Source organism: Homo sapiens, chromosome 9, assembly GCF_000001405.40.
Source record: "Homo sapiens chromosome 9, GRCh38.p14 Primary Assembly".
Lineage (NCBI taxonomy): Eukaryota > Metazoa > Chordata > Mammalia > Primates > Hominidae > Homo > Homo sapiens.
Window position 1 is genome coordinate 101,386,236 of NC_000009.12, and position 25,868 is coordinate 101,412,103.

The 25,868-nt window shown below is 37.5% G+C and overlaps 2 protein-coding genes across 10 annotated transcripts, besides 5 other annotated features; one reads left to right on the forward strand and one right to left on the reverse strand.

The window, feature by feature from the left end:
• Positions 1,398-12,383, reverse strand: MRPL50 (mitochondrial ribosomal protein L50). The gene is made up of 2 exons (NM_019051.3): positions 12,266-12,383; positions 1,398-4,615 (listed from the first exon to the last, which is right to left on the reverse strand). The coding sequence occupies exons 1-2, from the start codon at positions 12,355-12,357 to the stop codon at positions 4,231-4,233; spliced, it is 477 nt and encodes a 158-aa protein (NP_061924.1). The 5' UTR covers positions 12,358-12,383; the 3' UTR covers positions 1,398-4,230.
• Positions 11,496-12,025: an enhancer, noted in NCBI's record as "H3K27ac hESC enhancer chr9:104160013-104160542 (GRCh37/hg19 assembly coordinates)". NCBI's record gives its function as "activates a minimal SCP1, AML or CMV promoter by ChIP-STARR-seq in primed H9 embryonic stem cells {active_cell/tissue: H9 hESC(primed)}" and the evidence as "EXISTENCE:reporter gene assay evidence [ECO:0000049][PMID:30033119]".
• Positions 12,026-12,554: an enhancer, noted in NCBI's record as "H3K27ac-H3K4me1 hESC enhancer chr9:104160543-104161071 (GRCh37/hg19 assembly coordinates)". NCBI's record gives its function as "activates a minimal SCP1, AML or CMV promoter by ChIP-STARR-seq in primed H9 embryonic stem cells {active_cell/tissue: H9 hESC(primed)}" and the evidence as "EXISTENCE:reporter gene assay evidence [ECO:0000049][PMID:30033119]".
• Positions 12,026-12,616: a biological region, named in NCBI's record as "H3K27ac-H3K4me1 hESC enhancer GRCh37_chr9:104160543-104161071".
• Positions 12,087-12,616: an enhancer, noted in NCBI's record as "active region_28724". NCBI's record gives its function as "activates an Ori minimal core promoter by ATAC-STARR-seq in GM12878 lymphoblastoid cells {active_cell/tissue: GM12878}" and the evidence as "EXISTENCE:reporter gene assay evidence [ECO:0000049][PMID:35858748]".
• ZNF189 (zinc finger protein 189) lies at positions 12,616-24,419 on the forward strand. 9 transcript variants are annotated; one of them, NR_103480.2, is made up of 4 exons: positions 12,616-12,954; positions 13,691-13,775; positions 21,196-21,297; positions 21,694-24,419. NR_103480.2 is itself a non-coding variant. In XM_006717280.5 (4 exons), the coding sequence occupies exons 3-4, from the start codon at positions 13,742-13,744 to the stop codon at positions 23,412-23,414; spliced, it is 1,755 nt and encodes a 584-aa protein (XP_006717343.1). In that variant the 5' UTR covers positions 12,616-12,954; positions 13,160-13,295; positions 13,649-13,741; the 3' UTR covers positions 23,415-24,419. The 9 variants fall into 9 exon arrangements, 8 of the variants coding, with proteins under 8 accessions (XP_006717343.1, NP_932094.1, XP_011517300.1 ...); XM_006717280.5 differs by lacking the exon at positions 21,196-21,297 and adding an exon at positions 13,160-13,295 and having other exon boundaries at positions 13,649-13,775; NM_197977.3 differs by lacking the exon at positions 21,196-21,297 and adding an exon at positions 13,160-13,295.
• Positions 21,409-22,608: an enhancer, noted in NCBI's record as "BRD4-independent group 4 enhancer chr9:104169926-104171125 (GRCh37/hg19 assembly coordinates)". NCBI's record gives its function as "activates an origin of replication core promoter dependent on BRD2, P300/CBP, MED14 and CDK7 cofactors, and independent of BRD4, by STARR-seq in HCT116 cells {active_cell/tissue: HCT116}" and the evidence as "EXISTENCE:reporter gene assay evidence [ECO:0000049][PMID:35650434]".
• Positions 24,420-25,868: the final 1,449 nt, after the last annotated feature.

Below are 25,868 nucleotides of genomic sequence, written 5' to 3' on the forward strand. Positions count from 1 at the left end.
AAAAAAATCAGTAAAGGCATAGATTTGAACACTATAATGACCTTACCCTAATCGCCTCAACAACTTCAAATGTACACGGCATGTTCAACAAGATAGGCCATAAGTTAGGCCATAAAATCTCGATACATGTAAAAATACTGAAATCATATATCTCAATGAAATTAGAAATTAATAACATTAAGCCATCTAGAAAACTCCCAAATATTTGAAAATCAAACATATTTATGTCATGAGTCAAAAAGAAATCACACTGGAAATTAGGAAATATTTCAAACTGAATGATAAAGGAAGAATAATATAATTTTTAAAATTATAAAATGAAGCCAAAGCTAAAAAATTGATAAGCCACAACCTAGATTGATTAAATAAAAACAAGATAGGACACAAATAACAAATAGCTCAAAATGAAAGTGGGCCTATTATTATAGATCCAACTGACATTAATTAGGGAATATTATGAACAATTTTATGCTAATTAATTTGGTAACTTACATGAAATCAATTACTTGAAAAAATTTATTGAAGAATAAATGAGACCAAGAAACAATAATTAACGACCAACTCAATAAACCAGGATTGGATCCTGGATTGGAAGTGAAATTGCTATAAAGGTCATTACTAGGACATTGGTGAAATTTGAATATGGACAGTATATGATTATTGTTACATCAGTGTTACATAGTTTGAATTTGGTATTTCATGATGGAAAGCAAAACTTTGATGATTGCTCCAGTCTGTTACTGTACAGCTGAGATTAACTTTGGAATTCTATAGGATCAGAGGTTACAGACTATTTTTAAATTTGGAAACTTTTCAAGTAAAAGCTTTAGGATTTTTGCACTGTGTAACAACCTAGTGAAAATTTCAAAGTCCTTGTCACTTTGTGTTTTAGGATTCACAGAATACATGCTAATGGGATTATGAATCAAAGAAGTAGGACCAAATTGTTCATTCTTAGGTTTAGGGTCAAGAAATTTACAGTACAGTATCTTCTACTTCTGAGTAGAAAGATCTATGGCAGACCAATTCTCTAAGAACTAGAAAAGCAGGATTAAAAAGAACAGAAAAGCAAAACACTGGGAAGAATTTAAATATCCAGTTGAATATTGGTTAAATAATTGCATGACATCTAATTATACAATAATATGCTATTAATCAAATTTGTTATTCTTGTCTTTAAAAACATGGGGAAATGCTTATAATGTGAAGGGGAGCATGATGCCATAGTAATTGTAAAATACAGGAAAATAATTGTTTTCATTTGGAAATATACCAAAATGTTAAGTAATTATGAGCGGCAAGATAGTTTTGTTTTTTCATTCTTGTTTTTGCTTTTTTCCTTCCCAATTTTCTAAAAAGAACGTGCTACTTTTGTAATCAGAAAAATGACACGTTAAGAAAGGAGGGAGGAGTTTATTTTATGCAGTTTAAAACATATATTACATATGTAAAACCATTCTATTGAGTCTGAATCTCTATTTTATTAGCAGGCTTTATTTAAGCATACCTACTAAGCTTACAGAAGTTCCATCTAAGTAAAATTAGTTAACTGATACCCTTTTTATGTAGCAATCATTAAATTTTTAAAAATGTAAACCCTTTAAAATTACATCATATGTCTGATTATCTCATTAAACAAGTTAGCAAGCCTAATTTAATCTTTCAGGAAAACTAAAGGCCATTATTCTGATATATTCACTGTATTGAACTATAAACCAGTGATGCCCTCTAGTGGTACTGATGGACGTACAGTTTACCTTCCCTGTTAGGATGTGTTTACCCTCGTCGGCTAAATTTACCAAGACTGTTGTTTCAGGTGGCAGTACTTGTCTCCCACCTCAATACCAGCATCTAGATCCATGTTCTCAAAACATAATCAGCTTTTGAAGCATGCAGAAGCTCAGGACCTACTCCAGACTTACCAAATCAGAATTTGCATTTTTAAAAGATCCCCACATGAAAAAATGAATAAAAGATCCCCAAATGATTAACATGCGCATTAAATTTTGAGAATATTGCTCTAGGCTACAAAGGAGAAATTTCTTCTGTCCTAACGATCACATGAAGCTGCTTGGTTTTTGCAGTTACCACTCCAGTTGTAACTGTTTTTCCACATAGACCTTCTCATCCCTTATTTCCATCTTGCCCTTTGTTTTTCCGTGTCTCTGGATCAGAAGGAAAAATTGTATAGAAAATGAGATAATGAAATCCTGTACATAAAATTCCAATGATTCCATGCTGAATCTTTTACACAGCAGAAGCAGGACATACAGCAGGCCTTCTGTATGTAAACCCTTTAAAATTACATCATATGTTTGATTATCTCATTCAACAACAGCAAGCCTAATTTAATCTTTCAGGAAAACTAAAGGCCATTATTCTGATATAGTCACTGTATTGAGCTATAAACCAGTGATGCCCTCTAGAGGTACTGATGGATGTGCAGTTTACCTTCCCTGTTGGGATGCGTTTACCCTCCTTGTTGGTTAAATTTACCAAGACTGTGTGTTCCCCATCTGTGGATTCAACCAATTGTGGATCAAAAATGTTCGAGGGGAAAAAAAGATGACTGCATCTGTACTGAATATGTATACTTTTTTTCCTTCTCATTATTCCCTAATCAGCATAACAACTATTTACATAGCTATTTACATTGTATTCACTATTTACATAGCTACTTACATTGTATTCACAATTGTGAAAGCTATTTACATTGTATTCACAATTGTGAATACTATTTACATTCACAACTATAACATATAACATATTATTCACAATAGTTATGTTCACAACTATTTACATACTATTCACAATTGTAAATATTATTTTATAGCTATTTACATAGCTACATATTTACATAACTTTAAAATTTACATATTTACATAACTAAATACATTGTATTCACAATTGTAAATACTATTTACATTCTATTCAGTATAAGTAATCTAAAGATGATTTAAAGTATATGGGAGGATGTGCATACATAATATGCAAATACTACATCATTTTATAAAAGGGGCTTGGGCATCTGTGGACTTTGGTATCCAAGTAGGTGTCCTGGAACCAATCCCCAAGGAATCAACTCTAATGTCTAAGCTCCAGAGCTCCAGGCACTCTGACACCTGAAGTTCTTGAATGAAGTGCCTGTGGATGATATTTGTAGGGCATGTCTATACTGTTAACTAATTTTCTTCATGAAGATTCCAGAATTTATATTCCCAACTGAATTTTGCCCTCTTCAAAGGAGTAACCCTGGGAAAGAGAATAAATGCAACTTATTTTGTTAAAAACCCTTCTATCACTTTTCTTTAGGAATTGTCAGCAGTCAGAACAATATAAGACATTCCTTCTGTCTCATTACTCTCCAGCCATATCTAAAGCTTGAAAAAAAAATCCCAAATTTAACACCTTTGTCATTCAGAACCATCTGATAACCTGCTATTTAAGTAATTTCCACAAATTGAGTGCATTAAAGCACAAAGACTTGCCACTCTAGTGAATACTCAGCACCACTTTTTAAAAGTTATAGAGAAAAAGGTTTAAAATAAGCATCATCTCCTCTGAAGAGAATATGCAATTAGACATAGAATCTGGCACATCTCTTATGAGGAAGAGTCACAGCACTCAATATTTGGCATATATTCTAATTTTTTCAAAATTATACTTACTGGAAAGAAATGGCAAGGCAGAGCGCAAGCAAATTTCACTTAAAAAATTTACAACACACAATACACTTTAACAAATCTACTTTAATTCTAAAAGAAATTAATCTAGAACTGTCAGTAATACACAACATACTTTTATGTTTCTTTTATAGGTATCTATCTAATAAAAGTTTATTTGTGTATGTGCAATGCATAACTCTATCTTAGATATGAATCCTAACAGGATGAAAATACTTTCTTGCAACTACTTTATGCTTATGAAAGGTGTGAACTTGCAATGTCCTCCTGTCTTAAACCCAAGTTGACAGTGCCCTCTCAAAACTTTTCATAAATAATGACCTAATTTCATTTAAAAAATGGTTTCAGCAAATATGAAAATAGAAAGTCCGTTATTTGTCCATTTGTAATATGAGAAAAAAAAAGATGATACATTCCTCTACAGAAAAAGTGGGTTTAGAGAACAGTTCTGGTAGTATTTCACATGGTAAAGTATCAAAAGATCTAATGAGCAGCCCCCTTGCTCAGGGAAAGACAGTGATTTCAATGTGTTTCTCTTCCGAATTGCTTAGTAACTCCAAGTGATTTTCAAATTGGGGGGCAGATTACTGGCACTGAGTTCATCAAATTTAGATCTATCTTGAATAGGGACATTATAGAAATCAAGAACATCTCTAACCCTGCACATCTGGTGGAGTCTGGAGTTAGGGACTACATGACCCAAGTCATCAGCTAAATGAGCCAGAAGATTGAACTTTAGACGACTATCTTCCAGGGAGATGTCTTGCCAATTACTAGGAAGAGATGAACCAAAAACTTCTTTAACGTAAGATTCCAAACGACTCTGGAGATCTTCAGGTGGTGTGTATGCTCGGCTTCGTAAAGGTGGACACACTAGGATAGGTTCCTTTTTCTCTTCTACTGTCTCAACAACCACTGGCTCTTTCTCTTTTCTGGAATGATCAAAAACAAACAGACAAATCCATTAATGAAGTTGACAAACACCAGACCAAATCTTGCCTACCAATCAAAATCAACAATGGCATGCTGATTACCACTGGGGACTACTGAGAGTAGGAAAGAATATGGTAGGCCCCTGCCCTTAGAACGTTCATGGTTGAACTGAGTTGGGAGAGACAGAAAGAAACTAAGTACATATTTTACATACTGTAAGAATTCCTAAGAATGGGTGAAGAAGTAAGGTAAATCATTGTCTGGGATTCCCCATCCTCCAAGATCCCACCCCAATCTACCTTTCTGGTCTTACCTTTCACTGATTACCTACATATACTCCATGTGATACTCTATATCCTGTGTCCCAAGCACACTCCCACTTTCCTGACACAATGTGTTGGCTCAAGTCATATCTTAAAATGCCTGTCTTTTATCTTCACCTATGGAAATCTTGCTTATTCTGTAAGTCTTAGGATAAAATTGTTCTCTTCCAAGATGCTTTACCTAATTTCCAGAATCAAATATAATTGTGATTTCATGTGATCTCTTCAGCAGTTTATACTGCTCTCAGAGTGTATCACATCCTACCTGACTTTTAATTTTACTTACATTCTACTTCACAGAAAGTGAAGAGATGGAAAAAGATATTCCATGCAAACAGAAACCAAAAAGAACAGGAGTAGCTATACTTATATCAGATAAAATAAATTTCAAGTCAAAAACTATAAGAGATAAAGAAGGTCATTACATAATCATAATGAGGTCAATTCAGCAAAAGCATATAACAATTATAAATATATATGCAACCAATATTGGAGAACCTAAACACATAACACAAATATTAATAGATCTAAAGGAAGAGATAGACTACAATACATTAATGGTTGTGGATTTCAACACCCACTCTCAATAACAGACAGATCATCCAGACAAAATCAACAAAGAAAGACTGGAATTACATTCTACACCAAATGGACTTGACACTTAGAGAACATTTCACCCAACTGCTGCAGAATACATATTCTTCTCATGAGTACATGGTACATTCTCCAGGGTAGACTGTATCATAGAACACAAAACAAGTTTTAACAAATTCATAAAACTCAAAATCATATCAAGGACTTTTCTAACGACAATGAAATATAACTAGAAATCAATAACAAGAACTCTAGAAACTATACAACTACATAAAAAATAACATGCTCCCAAATGACCAATGAGTCAATGATGAAATTAGGAAGGAAATTTTAAAACGTCTTGAAGCAATAAAAATGAAAACACAACACATCAAAACCTATGCGATACAGCAGAAGCAGTAGTAAGAGGGAAGCTTATAGTAATAAACATCTACATGAAAAAAGAAAAACTTCACATAAACAATCTAAAGATGTACCTTAAATTAGAAAAAGACAAACCAAATCCAAAATTAGTAGAAGGAAAGAAATAAGATCAGTGTAGAAATAAATAAAATAGACTAAAAAAGCAATAAAAAGATCAATGAATTAAAAAGTTGGTTTATTGAAAAGTTAAAATCAACAAACCTTTAGCTAGACTAAAAAAAACAGAGAAGACACAAATACATAAAATCAGAGGCAAAAAAGGAGATATTACACTGATATCACAAAAATTTAAAGGCTAATTAGAGATTGTTACAAGCAACTATAAGTCAATAGATTGGAAAACCTAGAAGAGATGGATTAATTCCTAGACACGGACAACTTACCAGGATTGAATCACGAAGAAAAAGAAAACCCAAACAGAAATAATGAGAAAGAGGCTGTAATAAAAGTCTCCCATCAAAGAAAAGCTTAAGACCTGATGGCTTCACTACTGAACTCTAGCAAGCATTTAAAGAAGAACTAATGCCAATCAATACGAATTCTACCACAGCTATTCCAAAACACTGAAGAGGAGAGAATACTTCCAAACACACTCTACAAGGCCAGCATTACCCTGAGGCCAAAACCAGACAAAGACAAAATAAAAAAGGAAAACACATTCTACAAGACCAGCATTACCCCGATACCAAAATCAGACAAAGACAAAATAAAAAAGGAAAACTACAGTTCAATATTCCTGATGAGCACAGATGCAAAAACCCTCAACAAAACATTAGCAAGCAGAATTAAACCACACATTAAAATGATCATTCACCATGATCAAGTGGGATTCATCCCAGAATGCAAGAATGGTTCAACATATGCAAATCAACAAATTCGATACATCACATTGATAGAATCAAGAACAAGAATCATGTGATCATTTCAATAGATGCTGAAAAAGCATTTCATACATTTCAACATCCTTTCATGATAAAAACTCTCAATAAACTGGATACTGAAGGAACATACCTCAACATAATAAAGGTCATGCATGACAAACCCACCAAACAAGGACACAAAACAAGCTAGCATCATTGAATGGGAAAAAACTCAAAGCCTTTCCTCTAAGATCTTGAACAAGACAAGGATGCTCACTTTCATCACTTGTATTCAACACAGAACTTGAAGTCCTAGCCACAGCAATTAGACAAGAGAAAGAAATAAAGTACATCAAAATTGAAAAGAAGTCAAATTGTTCTTATTTGATATATGATCTTACGTATCATACGTAAGATATATGATCTTATGTATCATACGTAAGATATATGATCTTATATATCTTGTTGATATATGATCTTGTATTTAGAAAAACCTAAATATCCACCAAAAAAACTCTTAGAAATTATAAATTCAGTAAAGTTTCAGAATACAAAAATCAACATACAAAATCAGTAGCATTTCCATATGCCAATAGTAAACAATCTGAAAAAGAAATCAAGAAATCAATTCCATTAACAATAGCCACACACACAAAAAATCTAGGAATAAACTTCAACAAAGAAGTAAAAGGTCTCTACAATAAAAACTATAAAACACTGATGAAAAAAATTGAAGGGGACACACAAAAAATGGAGATATCCCACGTTCATGGATTGGGAGAATTGATGTTGTTGAAATGCTTATGCTACCCAAAGCGATATACTGTCAATGTAATCTTTATCAAAATACCAATGACGTTCTTCACAGAAATAGAAAAAAAAATCCTAAAATTCGTATGAAACCACAAAATGCCTTGAATAGCCAAAGTAATGCTAAGCAAAAAAAAAAAAAAAAAAAAAAGACCACACCTAACTGACCCCACCTTGCTTCTAACCTTTAAGCTGTCCTTGTTCATTCCTGGGCATAGGCCAAACTAACCTTGGGAAGGAAATGAGTTTACAGTTTGACTCTGAAACAAAATTGGTAATAGCCTTTTTCTGAAAAGACCTCCCTCTTGCCTGGGAACCAGTTTGCTTTTGTAGGACTAACAAATTAGCTACAAGATTAGAAATTATGGTTAGGGGTCATTCAGACTCCGGCTGCAAGAGTCTGATCCTCCCCAAATTGCTCCTGGGATAACACTGCTATTGTAAAATTCAAGGTCAGTGCTTGAGATATTTTGCAGACCCTGCACTCAATGGATTAGCTTACACCACCAAAGCCGGTAATCTGGCTCAATCAGTTCTGTGATCCCACCCAGGATCATAAGTTGGCAAGAACTCACTTAGACCCCCTATGATTTCATTTCTAACCCAACCAATCAACACTCCCCATTTCCTAGGCCCCTACCTGCCAAATTATCTTTAAAACCTCCGATTCCCAAGTTTTCGGGGAGACAGATTTGACTAATAATAAAACTCCAGTATCCTCACAGCTGACTCTGCGTGAATTACTCTTTCTCCATTGCAATTCCTCTGCCTTGATACATCAGCTCTGTCTAGGCAAAGTGAACCCGTTGGGCAGTTACAAAATTATAACCCTACTAGAAGAAAACATTGGGGAGATGCTTCAGGACATTGGTCTGGGCAACGACTTCTTGAGTAAGACCTCAAAAGCACAGGCAATAAGAACAAAAATAGACAAATGGGATTATACTAAACTAAAAAGCTTCTGTGTAGAAGAAAACATTGGGGAGATGCTTCAGGACTTTGGTCTGGGCAATGACCTTTTGAGTTAAGACCTCAAAAGCACAGGCAACAAGAACAAAAATCAACAAATGGGATTATATCAAACTAAAAAGCTTCTGCATAGCAAAGGCAACAATAAACAAAGTGAACAGGCAACCTAGAGAATAGGAGAAAAATTGGCAAACTATCCAACAAGGGATTAATAACCAGAATATACAAGGAACCCAAACAACTCAGTAACAACAACAAAAAAAACCTGATTTAAAAATAGCAAAAGATCTGAATACATATTTCTCAAAGAAGATATACAATGACCAACAGGTATATAAAAAAAATGATCTCTAATCATCAGGGAAATGCAACTCAATAACACAATGAGGTATTATCTCACCTGAGTTAAAATGACTATTATTTAAAAGACAAAAAATAACAAATGCTGGCAAGGATGTAAAGGGGAATACCAGTACACTGTTGGTGGGAATGTAAATTAGTACAACTGCTATGGAGAAAAGCATGGAAATTTCCCAAAGAAATTAAAAATAAAATTACCATATGATCTGGCAATCCCACTGCTGGGTATACATCCAAAAGAAAGTTAATCAGTCTAACAGAGATATCTGTACTCCATGTTTATTACAGCACTATTCACAATAGCCAAGATATGGAATCAAACTAAGTTTCTACCAATGGATGAATGGATATTAAAAAAACCGTACATATACTCAATGGAATATTATTCAGCCATTAAAAAAGGATGAAATCCTGTCATTTGCAGTAACATGGATGAAACTGGAGGACACTCTTTAGTGAAATAAGCCAGGTGCAGAAAGACAGATATCGCATGTTCTCGCTCCTATGTGTGAACCAAAAAAAAAAAAAAGACCTCATGGAGGTAGTAATAAATTGATGGTTACCAGAGGCTGGGAAGGGTAGTGAGGAGGTAAGGTATGAAGACAGATTGGTTAGAAATACAGTTAAAAGGAGTAATACAGTTAGAGAAGAGGACTACAGCTAAAAAGAGTAAGTTCTAGTGTTTGATTTCACAATTGGGTGACTATAGTTAGTAGTAATTTATTTGTATTTCAAAATAGCTAGAAGTGAAGATTTAGAATGTTCCCAAAACAAAGAGATAAATAACGTGATGGATACGTCAACTATTCAGATTTGGCTATTACACATTGTATGCTTGCATCAAAATATCACATGTACCCCATAAATATCTACAACTATTATGCATCCATAAACATTAAAAAAAAATTACAAATAAACATCACCTCATACCCATTAGGATGGTCATTACCAAAAAGACAAGTGTGGTGAGGACATGGAAAAAACGGCACCCTTATATGCTGCTGGTGGGAATGAATATTGGCATAGCCATTATAAAAAACAGTATTAAGCTTCCTCAAAAGTTATAAACAGAACTATCCTAACTATCCTAAGATCTAGCAATCTTACTACTCGGTATATATCCAAAGGAAATGAAAGCAGTATCTCAAAGAGACATCTGCACTCTCATCTTCATTGCAGCATGTGTGTATACATGTAAATGTATACATGTATACACACACATACACAATATTTAAGGCTGAATAAAATGCCATAAGTGTGTCTATATGTATATGTGTACCTATGTATGAATATATGTATATATTATGTGCTTGCATATATACACACACAAAAAATGGCATTTTATTCAGCCTTAAAAAAGGATATTTGTAACACATGGATGAACCTGGAAAATATTATGCTAAGAGAAATAAGCCAGACAGAGTAATACCACATGATCTCACTTATATGTAGTATCTAAAAAGTCAAATTAGGCCGGGTTTAGTGGCTCACGCCTGTAATCCCAGCACTTTGGGAGGCTGAGGTAGGTGGATCATGAGGTCAAGAGATCGAGACCATTCTGGCCAACATGGAGAAACCCTGTCTCTACTAAAAATAAAAAAATTAGCCGGGCGTGGTGGCGGGCACCTGTAGTCCCAGCTACTCGGGAGGCTGAGGCAGGAGAATCGCTTGAACCTGGGAGGCGGAGGTTGCAGTGAGCCAAGATAGCGCCACTGCACTCCAGCCTGGAGACAGAGTGAGACTCCATCTCCAACACAAACAAAAAAAAAGTCAAATTCATAGAAACAGAGAGTAGGATGGTGGCTACCAGGGGTGGCGGAAATGAAGAGACGTTGGACAAAGGTAAAATTTAAATTATGTAGAATGAATAAGTTCCAGAGATCTAATGTACACCATGGTGACGATCATTAATAATACTGTACTGTATACTTGAAATCTTCTGAGAGTAAATCTTAAGTGTTTTCACCACACACACAAAAATTCTAACTGGCCAGGTGTGGTGGCTCACCCCTGGAATCCCAGCAATTTGGGAGGCCAAGGTGGGAAAATTACTTGAGTCCAGGAGTTCAAGACCAGCCTGTGCAACATAGTGAGAACTCCTTTCTCTAAAACAAAACAAAACAGAAAGTATGTGAAGAGATGAATATGATAATTATCTTGACTAATAATCAACATCAAGTTGTATATCTTAAATATATAAAATTTTTAAAATAGTAAAGAAAATATAATCATCATTCTCAGTAATCTATTTCCTCTAGTTTTCTTCATAATTTACCACTTTCTGAAATTACATTACACATTTGTTCATTTCTTCCTCCATTAGAACATATGCCCTACGAGAACAAAAATTTGGTCTGTTTTAGTAACCACTGTATTCTTACAACACCTAAGATATAGCCTGGCATATAGTAAACAGCCTAAAAAATATTTGTTGAGTGAATGAATAAAACAAACTTGGAAGAGATTTGAGAGATAATAACAAATATTGACCAAAGAAGAGGGAAAGCTAATATCTGAACTGATGAAAAAGATCTTTCCTAATTGTAGTGGTTTTTGTTTTAAACCTAAGAGAGCATACATTGCTCCCTAGGGTTCCTACCATACGTTTTGATTTCCTAAACACTATCTAAGTCAAATTAGATTTACCTTCAAACAATTACACATGGTGCAGCCGTGCAGCAGAAAAAGCAGTAGATGGGGAGTTAGGAGACATATGTTCTAGATCCAGCTTTGCAATTAACTTGCTTTGTGACTTTGGGAAAATCACTTCCCTCCTGTGGGCCTGTTTCCTCATATGTTGGAGTACCTCGAGGATGAGAATGGATTTTGTTTTTCCTGCTGTATCCTAGGCGCTTAGAGTAATGCTGGCCCTAAGAAATCTGTTGAATGACTGAATGAATGAACAAACAAAAGGAGGAGGCAGTACTTCATTACTGAACCTTGCTTGTGAAGAAACACAGCCGGCAAATGAGTTTAGTTTACCAAGCGCTTTCATGTGTTTGCAGACAACACACTCGGTGTCTCGCACACGAGGTTAATCCTGCTTGCTTAATAAATAAATGAATGAGTGAAGTGAAAAGGAAAGGGGGTGGTATTTCCGTTATAAAATGAGAAAACTAAGGCCGAGAGTGGAAGAGACTGGGTCCCACCACTCAATGAGTGCTTCTCAACTCGGGACCCTAACCGGACCTCCTTGTCCTTGCTCTGATCAGGCGCGGGACCACGATGGCGTAACACTCTATTTTGAATTCGTCCCTAATCCTCCTTAACTTTCCTTGAACATGACCCACCGTCCACCATAAAGCTTTACCTGAATCGAGACCAAAATTCTCTACATGGTGTCCCTGAGACTGTCCACATGAAGACTCTTCTGGTAATGCCCGACACAGATCGCGCCGCCATCTTCGATGAGATCCACGGGCCTGAGCGCAGCCTTCAGCCAGCAGTGACGCGCCCAGACCAGCCAATCGGATACAATCCCAGTGGCAAGAGCTTTCTTTTTCCTGTAGGCTCCCTCGCCCTTTGCACGCTGGGAAATGTAGTCCAGTAGCTGTTGCTGGCGGCGTCTGGACCGCGGCGCTCTTTCCGAGCATGACGGGAGTTGTAGTTGAGGGGGCCTCGGGAAGAATCTGGGTGACGCCTTCTGGTCCGGGGGCGGGCGGTCATAGCGTTACTTGGCTGCAAGGAGGAGGAACTGGCAGCGGGGAGGAGGCTCTAGCGAGGCCTGAAAGGCTGCGTAACCAGGCAGGAGTAGGGGTTGGGGTTCGGGGTTGGGGGACAGCCAGGGATCGCGTCTGATATGCTGTTGGGGTCGTGACCGTCTGGGGGCCGAGGCAGGCACTGGCCAGACCCAGCCAGGGATCCTCGTATTCGTCGAGCCTAATTTCCAGCAGCCGGGTAGGCCTCACCAGAGGCTCCTTTCCGTGAGGCCGCCCCCAATTCCTGCCCCTATTCTCTGCCTGGGAGATGGCTTCCCCGAGCCCCCCGCCGGAGTCGAAGGTAAGTAAGCACCCCCCCGGGGATCCCGGTTGTCTCGCCGCTACCCCAGCTAGGCCGCACCACTGCTTTCTCCCCCAGGCCCCCCACCAACCTCCTGACCGCCTCTTTAGGGCCAGCGCCTTGCAAGGAACTCCCCACTAGTGCATTGGGGTGCGGTTCGCGAACAAACTGCCCACTGGCTCCCTTTTTTTTTTTCTTTTTCTAGAGAGACTTGATAAATCGGCCTGAGAAAATAAGTAATGCTCCAGACTAGCTCTCTCATTTGTGAGTTCTCCAGGTGAAGCACCATTTTTGACCTTCCCTTGTGTCTTCTGTTCCTGGCACAGTGCCTGGACCCCAAGGTACACGCTTAGAGAACCTCAAGGAATTGAATTGAATAGAGTCACAAGCCAGTGCAAATGGAAAATTGAAGTAGGCAATGAGGTGAGGGAAGCTTGGAGAGGCCTTGGGGCAGTTTACTAAAATTAAACTCTCAGGGCATAATAAATCAGAAAAGCCTTATCCGTAGGTCCTTTCTAGTCTGAGATGTCTGTCAGTTACAGTTCGTTCCCAGAATTGGGCAACATATGGAACTTTCAGTTATCATGTTCCTCCTAGCCTACTTGGCCACAATAAGTGATTGCCTCTGTCACTTTTAGTGGTAGAATTGTCCTTGAGACAACAGGAACTGACTACAGAAATCATACTATTTCAGGGGTTGCTGACATTTGAGGATGTGGCTGTGTTTTTTACCCAGGAGGAGTGGGATTATCTGGACCCAGCTCAGAGAAGCCTGTATAAAGATGTCATGATGGAGAATTATGGAAACCTGGTCTCACTGGGTAAGAATCTGCTGTTTCTCTAATTAAAATATCTAAGAAGGTAGAGAGAAATCAGACTAACAGAACATTTGGACGGAAACCAGTACCAAAACTGCTTTGTTCCAAAGTTCTGATTCAAACCTTTTAGCCATTAATTGTTTCCATAACTCTCATCCCTAGCTTCCTTGAGGTGACCAAACTGCAAGCCTTTCGGGCATCCTGTCTTCATAATCTCATTCCCATATTGTTCTGTACTTTCCGTCCTGGCTCATCCTCCCACAGCTTTCCTCCCACCCCTTTTCACTCTGCGTTCTGGAACCCCTGTTCGTCTTCACATAATGTTCCTTCCCTCCTGGCCTTAACTGAAACCTGGCACTATCCCAAGGACAACGTTTCTCTGGCAGTTTTTCAAGTGGGGGCTGCTTATTCTCCCACATCCTCCTCCTTCCCCATCCTTTGTCTCAATGTTGGAAGGGGGAAGTTATTGTTCACTCAGCTTTTAAATGCTGTCCCCAAAGCATTAGTTTTCCACCTTCAAACAAAATCTCTCCTTCTTTGAGGTCTCAGCAGTCTTGCTTTTTCCACTCAATTCCTTTTCACTATCTGTCAACTTTTAGTTTGGTCCTTCACACATAACTTTGTCACATGTTTCATAGTCTATTTTAACTCGTGCCATGGATGACCCAGTTAATACTTCAGCCTCAGTGGATCTTCAGGGACCCTGCTTTCCACTTTTACTCAGCACCTTACATCATTGATCATACCAGTTTTGTCATAACAGGCAAATCGTAAATCCCAATACCCTATTCTCTGACCAGTTATTCGGAAATGGAAGTTTATTGACTGTGACTAGACGAGGGTAACCAAAACAGACAGGCTTTCTCCCCTTGTGGAGCTTACTACAACTTCTCTATCTTTCCTACTCCTTTCCACCTAAACCCATTCATTATTAACGATGTTTCCTGTCCCTTGACGTCTCTGTTTTTTCACTGAGGTGTCCAACCTTTCTGGGCTTGTATCCCCATCTAATCACCAGCAAGCTCTCTTGCTAGCTTGTCATTATTCTCTACCCATTCTGCAAACTTCAAATCCTGTATTTGTTATAAAATTCACCTTTCTCTCTTTCCTACCCAAATTGCTAAACATAGCAGGAGAAATTCTCTAACCAGAAAGATTGATATCCTTTATATAAGTATGGCCTTTTTCTTCCACTCTCCACTGGGTTTTTATATCTTAGCAATATTTTTTGTCACTGATATGCTCACTGCCCTGTTCTTTTTAGTGACTATTCCAAAAGCTTATCCATCATTAAGTAGTGAAGCTCACCTTCTGTTTCTCAGAGAAAATAAAGGCCAATAAGCATGAACTCTCAACTTCTCTGCCTCTTATCTACACACTTAAAGCTGCTCTCATCTTCTCACCTTTCCAGAAACTAATCAGTCATTCTTTTTTCCCTTTTAGTTTCAGTCACTATTTCTTCTCCCTTGGTACCCTTATTCTGATGATTGGTATGTTCATAACTCTTCAACAGGAGAAAAGAGAGGAAAAAAGAAAAAATCCCTCCTATGAGTCAGACTCTCCCTCTTGCTGCTGCCTATGATTTACTACTTGTTCTCTTCATAGTCAAGATTTTGTAAGAGTAGTTAATGTGTGTTCTGTATTTCTTTACCTCCCCTTGTGTCTGAGCCCCTTTGTCTTGCCTCTAATACTCCCTTTAAATTGTTTAACAGTGATCTGTAACACGTCATTGTCAAATGCAGTAGACTCTTTTGGGACCTTATTTTAGTCTACCTCTCTATGAATATGTGAAACTCTTTATTGTTTCCCTCCATTGGCTTGCATTCTCAGACTTCCCCTCAGTCTGTACTCTTTCCTTGGGGGACCTTACCTACACTCAGGTCATCAGCTACCGCTCTGTGAAAATAAGTCCCATTTTTTTTTTCAAGTCATAGCCTCATTCTGTTGCCCAGGCTGGAGTGCAGTGGTGCAATCTCAGCTCACTGCAGCCTCCACCTCCTGGGTTCAAGAGATTCTCCTGCCTCAGCCTCCTGAGTAGCCGAGACAAACAGGCATGCACCGCCACACCCAGCTAATTTTTGTATTTTTAGTAGAGAAGGGGTTTCACTGTGTTGGCCGGGCTGGTCTCGAACTCCCGATCTCAGGTGATCCGCCCACCTTGGCCTCCCAAAGTGCTGGGATTACAGGCGTGAGCCACCGTGCGTGGCCCAAATCTTTATTTCCACCTAAGAAAGGTAATGTGGAGCCTAACTGCCTAGGTTTAAATCCTTGTTCCACCACTTACTTAGCCTGGTGAGTATAGTGATTTAATCTCTCTTTGCCTCAATTTATTTTTTTATAAAATGGAAATAATAATAGCACCTACCTCATAGGGTTATTGTGAGCATTGACTGAATTAATGTATGTAAAACACTTGACACACTAACATGTAGTTAAGAACAATATAAATGTTGACTTATATTGTTGTCATCATCTTCTCTGTTGAGTTTCCAATTCCTAGTCATCTTTTGAAGACCACATGAGTAATTCAAACCTGGCAAGTTTCAATCCATTAAAATCAAGGGCCTTCTCTTTCTTTGTTTTACCAGAGCTAAGCACTCCTTTCTTTGTTTTACCTTGTATATACTCCTGCTATTGAATTTATCATACTATACTACAATCATTCTATATATGTTACTTTTCTAACCTCACTGATTACTGTGAGGATGGTAGATATACCTGTTGCATTTGATTTCTCCAGCACTTAGCACAGAGCCAGGCCTATATTATATGCTTCTTAAATATTTATATGACTGAGTAAGTACAGTTAACTTAAGACTCAGTATCTCTTAACTGGATTATTACATTAACCCCTAAACTACCCCCTTGCCACTAGTCTCCTTTTTTAAAATATATTCTCTCTACTGCCACCAAAGTGATTTTGTATTAGTTAACTGTGTAAAACTTCTGATGGTTCCTGATAGCTTAAATGATAAAAATCTTAATTTCTTATCATATAGGACCTTCCAAGTATAGCCTCTGCCTATCTTTCTTGCCTCACCTGTTTTTTCCTGCACACCACTTTAGTCTTCAGCCATATCAGCTGCTGATATGTGTGTGTGTGTGTGTGTGTGTGTGTTTTAATATACCATGTTGTCTCTCAGTCACTGCCAGCTTATCCATACATATGGTATTCTGGTTGATAGAACCAAGTAAGTGCCTGGCCCTGCCTTCTCCTAGAACTGCAGCATGTAAATACCATATGGACAAGGTGTGACAGTGTGCCCACAGATGATCTTCTACTTGTAGGCTGTCTTCTTTATTTCAGCTTAAATACAGCTTTCCATATTCATCATTTCTCCTCCCACAGTCTTTTCATCCTCCTCAATAAACACTATCTCCATCCCTTTGGTGAGAGCTCCCTTGATGAGAGATCACTATTACTCTACTGTTGCAATGCAGTATTCTCTTCTACATCATCTTAACTGCTTTTCATAATGCAACTCTTGTCTAGCTTTATAGTTTTGGCTTTTCATTCATACTTTTCCTTTTCAAGCTTATTTTTAAAAAAACTTTAATAGCTACATCGATGATACAGTTGATAGCTTAATTTCTCAGATCTTTGACATCTTCAATTTTAATGACTCTTTCCGCAATGACTTGCAGATTGCCACCTTATTACTGTGTCTTCACATGGCAGAAGGGGAGAGAGATAGAGCAAACGTTCTGGTCTTTGTTCCTCTTTTTATAAGAACACTAATCCCATCATGGGGGCCCAACCTTCATGACCTCATCTAAATTTAATTACTTCCCAAAGGCCCCGCCTCCAAATATCATCACATTGTGGATTAGGGCTTCACCATATGAATATTTGGTGGGAACACAAACATTCAGTCTATAACACTGTCTTATCTCTTTTTTCTCCTTGACGGTTTAGTCTTTTCTCCTTATGTTCACATTCTTCTGTCCTTTTGGCTTCTGGTTTGATAGGTTACAATTCTAGCTACCTTCCGAATAACTAGCGATTTCAGTTTTAATTCCAGGTTCTTTGGCGAAACCCACTTTGAGACAACTATCTGTGTAGAAAAATTGGCCATGACCACAGGATGGGAAGATATTGCATAAGCATTGCCAAGCCCAGATCTAATGGATAGTCACTTCAAGGCTGCTCTGTGTGGAAGCCTTACTCTTGTTTTTTTCACCTGCCTATCCTGTTGACCTATTTATTTTTATGTGAATGTCATTGTTTTATTCGCTTTAACAATATATTACATTTTGTGTCTGGTAATATAAGTCATTCTTTAATAATCTTTTTCAGGATGTACTTCACTAGTCTGCCTTCTTCTAAACTTTAGATTTATTTACTTTTTTATTGGTTCATGTGATTTTTGATTGGAATGATTAGTTTCATAGATTGAAAGGAATTGAGATCCTTATAATATTGAATCTCTTTAGCCATTTGGTTGACTCTGTTTAACTGTATCCTTTTGTCTTTCAGAAAAATTGTATGGAATATTTTTATGGATCTTACACATTTCTTATGTTTATTCCTAGGTTTTATGTTTTTTGTTACTATTGTGAAGCATTTATATCATTTCTGTATAATATTTACTAACTTTTTTTGTACTAAGAACAAGCTTTTTAATCTTGTTATGATTATATTTTCATTTGCTTCTTCCAGGAATTTTAGGTATATATTCATATCATCTTCAAGTAATGATCATTTTGTCTTATTCATTTGAATGAAATTGACAGAACAGTATCCACTAATCCAACTAACATAACTGAACAAATATTCTGAAGAGACTGCCTTCTCACAAAGAATTTACAATCTAGTGGAAGAGACAAATAACGAACAGTTAAAAAATGCAGTGTAATCATAGCAATAATAGAATTATGGTCGAGGGCTGGTAATAAAAAAATAGAACACCTGAATCTGTCTAGTGGACTTAGTAAAGGCTTTGTAGAGGAACTGTTGCTTTAAACTTAAAGATTGCTTTGAATCTTAAAACCAAAAGTTTGCCAGGTAAACAGTGTTGAGGGACATTTAGTAAATGAGATATGTGAAGATAAGACATGAAAGACTGTAACACAAACAATTTGCCTACATAAAGTATGATAAAGTAGGTAGGAACATGACTTGAGGCTTAGAGACTGTGTCATGAAGAGTTGTATCATAGCAAAGAGCTTGATTCGATCTTAAAGGTGATGGGGAGCTGCTAAATCTACAGGTGATGACTTGAGTAGAATTCTGTTTTATAGAGATCTCTTCTAGAATCAGTAAGGCATATATAATGTGTTGGCAGCCTAAAGACTGGAGCCAAAGATTATAAGGCAGCTACATGATTGTGAGGGATGAAAGATAGGTGCTAGAGAGAAATCCAGGATTTGGATGATTGATTAACGTGAGAAGAAGGGAGAAATACAGGATGATTGCTGCTTTGAGACTATAGGGTAATGGATGATGGTGCCTTTCAAGAGATAATTAAAGGTGGGGAAAGGCATGAAAGCAGATGATGATGACCATGTTAATTGTGAGCCCTTTGTGAGGCATTTAACTGGAGATATCTGGAGGGTGTATATACAGAACAAGTAAGGATGTAAATGTGGGTAACAATAACAAAAGTCAGTTGACAAAGGAAAAGAAATAAATGAGGGAAATTTATCAGAAAAGGCCAAAGAAGTAGGGAAGGAAATAAAAGAATGTGGTAGTGTAGAAACCAAAAACAGATAATGTCAAGAAATAGGGGTGGTCAACAGTGTTAGATGCTGCTGAATAACATAAGGACTGAAACATGCCCATTTTAGGCCAGGCACGGTGGCTCACTTCTGTAATCCCAGCACTTTGGGAAGCTGAGGTGGGTGGATCACCTGAGGTCAGAGTTCGAGACCAACATGGTGCCCCATCTCTACTAAAAATGCAAAAAAATTAGCTAGGCACAGTGGCGGGTGCCTGTAATCCCAGCTACTTGGGAGGCTGAGGCAGGAGAATTGCTTGAACCCGCGAGGTGGAGGTTGTAGTGAGCCAAGATCACTCCAGCCTGGGCAATAAGAGTGAAACTCTGTCTCAAAAAAAAAAAAAAAATGCCCGTTTTATTTTTATTTGAGTCATTGGTAATCTAATGAGAAGTTTCTCTAGATGCTGGAAACAGAAACCAGATTTCGCCACAGGTTGCAGAATAGATTGAATAGGAAGAGGTTGGGCTTGGAAAACATAAGAAATAGAAAACCTCGGTGTTAAGATTTTTTTTCAATGCTTGGCTTTCATAAAGAGAAGGATTTCAGGTTCAAGATAAAATTGGACATATTTATGTAATGGTAGGAAAGTGTCAATAGAGAGTGTGTATTGAAGAAAGAGGAAAGACGGGATAATTAAGCAAATGCCCAGAGGTGAGTAGGATCGGTAAGTGATGGATGGATTAGCCTTGCATAAGAATCAGATATATCTTTATGTACCATTGGCAGATAATTTTATAGGTAGAGGACAGAAAGTTGAGGGAGTTCTTTCATGTTTTTTCATTATGTGAAAGAAAATACAGCCCACTGAAAAATTTGAGAGGGGACACTAAAAAGCCTTAGAAGAAATAAAATTTCTAGTAGTTTCTTAGGGGAATAGGAAAAGGTTATTTTAGAATAAAATAATGAAGTAAGCAAATAGAAAATTCAAAGATGACTCCACAAAAAATTGAGAGAAAAGAGGATGTATGAAAAAGGAGCTTGTTTAGGGCCAAATATAAATGTGGTCATTATTGAATCTTCTAGCGGAATTATCTAATATCTATTCCAGCAAGAGATGGAAAATCAGGAAGATGTCCGAAGCGGGCCTAGATGTACTATATGACACTCTGTTATATCATAGACCACTGTGCTGTCTTTTCTTCAACACATGCAAGATTTTCATTTCTCAGATGTCATGCAGCCTCTCAGTTGGAACAAGATGGTGAACCTTGGGTCTTATATTGTTAGAGGGTTTAGAATCACATGTACTTGAGGTATGATTTGTGGTAGGTAAAGTCATAAGCTACCACAGACTGCCCTTTTTGGTTGTTGCTCCCATGAACTCTGACCATGTTTCTTAATACTTATTTTATTCTGCATCTCGATATCATAGACTCTCTGTCACCTAACCCTTTATTATTGTTTTTAAAAGCCATTTTGTCTCTTTATACAGGAGCTGCTTTTTACTTAATATTTTCTTTATCATATTATTTTCTTTCCCCATTTTTTACTTAACATCCATTCCATTTGGCAGGGGGGCTTCATGTCTTATCTCTGAATCCTGGCTGATTACAATGTTTCTGGAGTGCTTTTGATGGGCAGTGAGTAAATGCTTGTTAATGAATGAATTATTGTTTCCCCTGGATCTTTGTCTTTTATCCTTCTTAGCATCTTTTTTTATTTTTATTTTTATTTTTTTGAGATTAGGTCTCACTCTATTGCCTAGGCTGGTGTGCAGCGACGCAAACACAGCTTGCTGCAGCCTCAACCTGTTGGGCTTAAGTGATCAATCCTCCCACCTCAGCTACCTGAGTAGCTGGGACTACAGGTGTGTACCACCATGTCTGGCTAATTAAAAAAAAATTTTTTTTTTGTAGAGATGAAGTCTCACTGTTGCCCAGGCTGGTCTCAAACTCCTGAGCTCAAGTGATCCTCCCACCTCACTCTCCCAAAATGCTGGGATTACAGGCATGAGCCACTATGCCTGGCCATTAGCATCTGGTCCCTTCTGTTAATTATTTGGTCTGATCATATTCCAATAATGCTTTCTCATCCTTAATTTTCTTGAACTTAGTGGAGTTTTTTTTCATCCTACCCTGTTTTCCTTGATAGACTGATTAATCCCACCTTGACTTTATTTGTTTCTTTGTTTGCCCATCTTACTTTGTTTCTCCTTGCTTCAAAGACCTTGGTTGATCTTTGTATTTCCTTTTTATTATTCCAGATGTTTTGAACAGAGATAAGGATGAGGAGCCAACTGTAAAACAAGAGATTGAAGAAATTGAGGAAGAAGTGGAACCACAGGGTGTAATAGTTACAAGAATCAAAAGTGAAATTGACCAGGATCCTATGGGTAGAGAAACATTTGAACTTGTTGGTAGGTTAGATAAACAAAGAGGGATCTTCCTATGGGAAATACCAAGGGAATCTTTGACCCAGGAACAGAGAATGTTCAGAGAAAACACTAACATTATCCGTAAAAGACCAAACTCAGAAGAGAAATGCCATAAATGTGAAGAATGTGGAAAGGGTTTTGTCCGCAAGGCCCATTTCATTCAACATCAAAGGGTCCATACTGGTGAGAAACCTTTTCAGTGCAATGAATGTGGGAAAAGTTTTAGTCGCAGTTCATTTGTTATTGAACATCAGAGAATTCACACTGGGGAAAGGCCCTATGAGTGTAATTACTGTGGAAAAACCTTTAGTGTGAGCTCAACCCTTATTAGACATCAGAGAATCCACACTGGAGAAAGACCCTATCAGTGTAATCAGTGTAAACAGAGCTTCAGCCAGAGAAGGAGCCTTGTTAAACATCAAAGGATTCATACAGGTGAGAAACCCCATAAATGTAGTGACTGTGGGAAAGCCTTCAGTTGGAAATCACACCTTATTGAGCATCAAAGAACTCACACTGGTGAGAAACCTTATCACTGTACCAAATGTAAGAAGAGCTTTAGTCGAAATTCATTGCTTGTTGAGCATCAAAGAATTCACACTGGGGAAAGACCCCATAAATGTGGTGAATGTGGGAAAGCCTTTCGATTAAGCACATACCTTATACAACACCAAAAAATTCACACTGGCGAGAAGCCTTTTCTTTGTATTGAGTGTGGAAAAAGTTTCAGTCGGAGCTCATTCCTTATTGAACATCAGAGGATCCATACTGGTGAAAGACCTTATCAGTGCAAAGAGTGTGGGAAAAGTTTCAGTCAGCTTTGCAACCTTACTCGTCATCAGAGAATTCACACAGGAGACAAGCCCCATAAATGTGAGGAATGTGGAAAAGCCTTTAGTAGAAGCTCAGGTCTTATTCAGCATCAGAGAATTCACACCAGGGAGAAGACTTATCCATACAATGAAACTAAGGAAAGTTTTGATCCAAATTGCAGTCTTGTTATACAGCAGGAAGTCTACCCTAAGGAGAAATCTTATAAATGTGATGAATGTGGGAAAACTTTTAGTGTTAGTGCTCATCTTGTACAACATCAAAGAATCCACACTGGTGAAAAGCCCTATCTATGTACTGTCTGTGGGAAAAGCTTCAGCCGGAGCTCATTTCTTATTGAACATCAGAGAATCCACACTGGTGAGAGACCCTATCTGTGCAGACAGTGTGGAAAAAGCTTTAGTCAGCTTTGTAATCTTATTCGACATCAGGGTGTTCACACAGGTAATAAACCCCATAAATGTGATGAATGTGGAAAGGCCTTTAGCCGGAACTCGGGTCTTATTCAGCATCAGAGAATACACACAGGAGAGAAACCTTATAAGTGTGAGAAGTGCGACAAAAGTTTCAGTCAACAGCGCAGTCTTGTCAACCATCAGAAGATCCATGCAGAGGTGAAAACCCAAGAAACCCATGAATGTGACGCTTGTGGTGAAGCCTTTAATTGCCGTATTTCTCTTATTCAGCATCAGAAATTGCACACAGCATGGATGCAATAAATGTAGAGCAATACATAAGCTCAATTTGATTTGAGACTAGTACCCAAGTGCAGTTTTAGTATGGCTCAACATGGGTCAGATTTAGTGATAAAGCAAATTCTCCTTGGCCTCAGGCAAATAGTTTCTAAAGATTCTGTGAATAGTGGACAACTGCCCATGAGCATTTGACTTCCCTTACTCTTTGATGATCGTAGAGAAAGACTTGGTAATTTATCTAAGTATCTTTAATAAATCTTTCAGCAGAGAGATTAAACCTAGGTTCAGAGCATGGGTGCTCTGAGGGACAAAGTTGGATTAGTATAAGGGAGCTGGAGCAGCTGATAGTGGAAAACAGAATAATGATTCAAAGAGTCTTCTGTCACCATGTCATATTGTGGTTCTTTCAGTTCCATGATATGTTTGGCTCTGCATGCCAAAGTCCAGTGATTAAGCATATATAAGTTGTCAAGGAAACAAAGCCCAAATGTTTTTAAAACAAGTATACAGTTTTTGTCATTGTTTAAGAAAGCCAGTTGTTTGGCATGTGAGTTAAAGGCAGTTCCAATGCCTGATGGTTCCCAGATCTATGAAATGAGTGGACCATTAACCTTACATGTAAAGATTATGTTAGTAATTAAGAAACCTAACAAAGGTGTTACCAAGGAACCTTTGGGAGTGCCTTTTTTGTTTTTCAAGATGGACCCAAAAAAGTGGAGGAAGATATTGTTCTTTTGTGCCCTCCTACCTGTGAGAGATATTTGTAGTCCTATGTGAATGAGCTTATCCCTCCACAACCAGGTGCATATGAAAGTGTACATATTATGACTGCCAAGTATTGGAAATGAAAAGACCTGGAGTCTATGCTAGGAAGCTGAGATATTTTGGTATTGCATTGGTTTTTATGGTAACTAGGTTTTGCATGCAATTAAAAATCCTTATTTCTTGTTCTAGGGCTTCCCTTAGTTAATGGTTATTATAAACCTATTAATTCATCTGTTTTAACCATTAAAACCTGTTTTGTTTTTAGCTTTGTGTAAGAGTTGTTACTTTAGTGTAAAACCAATTCTGTCAAACGCATTACTGTGTTTTTAAAATTAGAATCAAAAATAGGAAGGAAATAGCTGTCATTTGTTCTGTGTGTGACTAGTTAAGCTTTTCTGGAGTAGCTCAATTAAGCCCAGGTTCTTCAGTTTCTGAGTATAGAATTCCAAATTAGCAGAATTCTGTAATTCCAGCTTCCTAATAGTTTGAGCAAATGACCCCTCCTTCTCCTGTACCTCAGTCATTCCAAAAATTACCTCCAGACTTTCATCTTCCCATCTCTTTATGTGTGTACCTGCATGTGAGTGTGGAGATTATGGTACATGTATAGAAAGATACATATCTTTGTGCACTCCCTTATTCAAATTAGGTACTCATAGTTACTATACAGTTGACATTTCAAAACAATTTGTAGTCCAAGGAAAAGTACAAAAAACAACATACTGCACCTGACTCATATAAAATTTTCCTGCCCTGGACCTTCCCAGTTGTACTTATTTTACACTAGTGGTTCCCAGATCAGGATCTCAACTAATGAGGTTCTTAGACCTGTTCTCAGTATTTTAAAAATCTATTGTGTATGTTTTCACTGCATGTACACTGAAACACATTTCTTTGCTTTTTGTTGAAGTCACATCAGTTTCATGTACGGTTATATTCCATAGCAGAAGCACTGGCTGCTGTTGACCTCATAGTAGTTTGAGGCTATGGTTGTATGAGGTAGTCCTACATAATTTTTAATATCCTTGGACATGAATCTGGAATTTATAGAAATTTCTTAATTTTAAAATCCTTGGACAACTCAGAACTCCAGTAACAGTGAACAGTTCTTGACTGCATATACACATCATTGCTTATAAAAAACATAGAACCCTAAAAAATCATTTTTTTAAAATTATACTTTAAGTTCTGGGATACATGTGCAGAATGTGCAGGTTTGTTACATAGGTATACATGTGCCATGGTGTCATTCTGCATAGTGCCATCGCAGAAATTTTCTTCCATTCTGTAGGTTGCCTGTTCACTCTGATGCTAGTTTCTTTTGCTGTGCAGAAACTCTTTAGTTTAGTTAGATCCCATTCATCAATTTTGGCTTTTGTTGCTTTAGTGTTTTAGTTAATTTTGGTGTTTTAGTCATGAAGTCTTTGCCCATGCCTATGTTCTGAATGGTATTGCCTAGGTTTTCTTCTAGGGTTTTTATGGTTTTAGGTTTTACATTTAAATCTTTATTCCATCTTGAGCTAATTTTTGCATAAGGTGTAAGGAAGGGGTCCAGTTTCCGCTTTCTGCATATGGCTAGCCAGTTTTCCCAGGACCATTTATTAAATAGGGAATCCTTTCCCCATTGCTTGTTTTTGTCAGGTTTGTCAAAGATCAGATGGTTGTAGATGTGTGCTGTTATTTCTGAGGCCTCTGTTTTGTTCCATTGGTCTA

What these genes read in the sequence shown, in the direction of transcription:
- MRPL50 (NM_019051.3), bottom strand. Translation starts at nt 12,357, where the DNA reads ATGGCGGCGCGATCTGTGTCGGGCATTACCAGAAGAGTCTTCATGTGG. An exon ending in GAATTTTGGTCTCGATTCAG is followed by an intron (nt 4,616 to 12,265) that starts GTAAAGCTTTAT and finishes TGATCATTCCAG; the next exon opens with AAAAGAGAAAGAGCCAGTGG.
- ZNF189 (NM_003452.4), top strand. Translation starts at nt 12,922, where the DNA reads ATGGCTTCCCCGAGCCCCCCGCCGGAGTCGAAG. An exon ending in GCCCCCCGCCGGAGTCGAAG is followed by an intron (nt 12,955 to 13,648) that starts GTAAGTAAGCAC and finishes ATACTATTTCAG; the next exon opens with GGGTTGCTGACATTTGAGGA. An exon ending in TGGAAACCTGGTCTCACTGG is followed by an intron (nt 13,776 to 21,693) that starts GTAAGAATCTGC and finishes TTATTATTCCAG; the next exon opens with ATGTTTTGAACAGAGATAAG.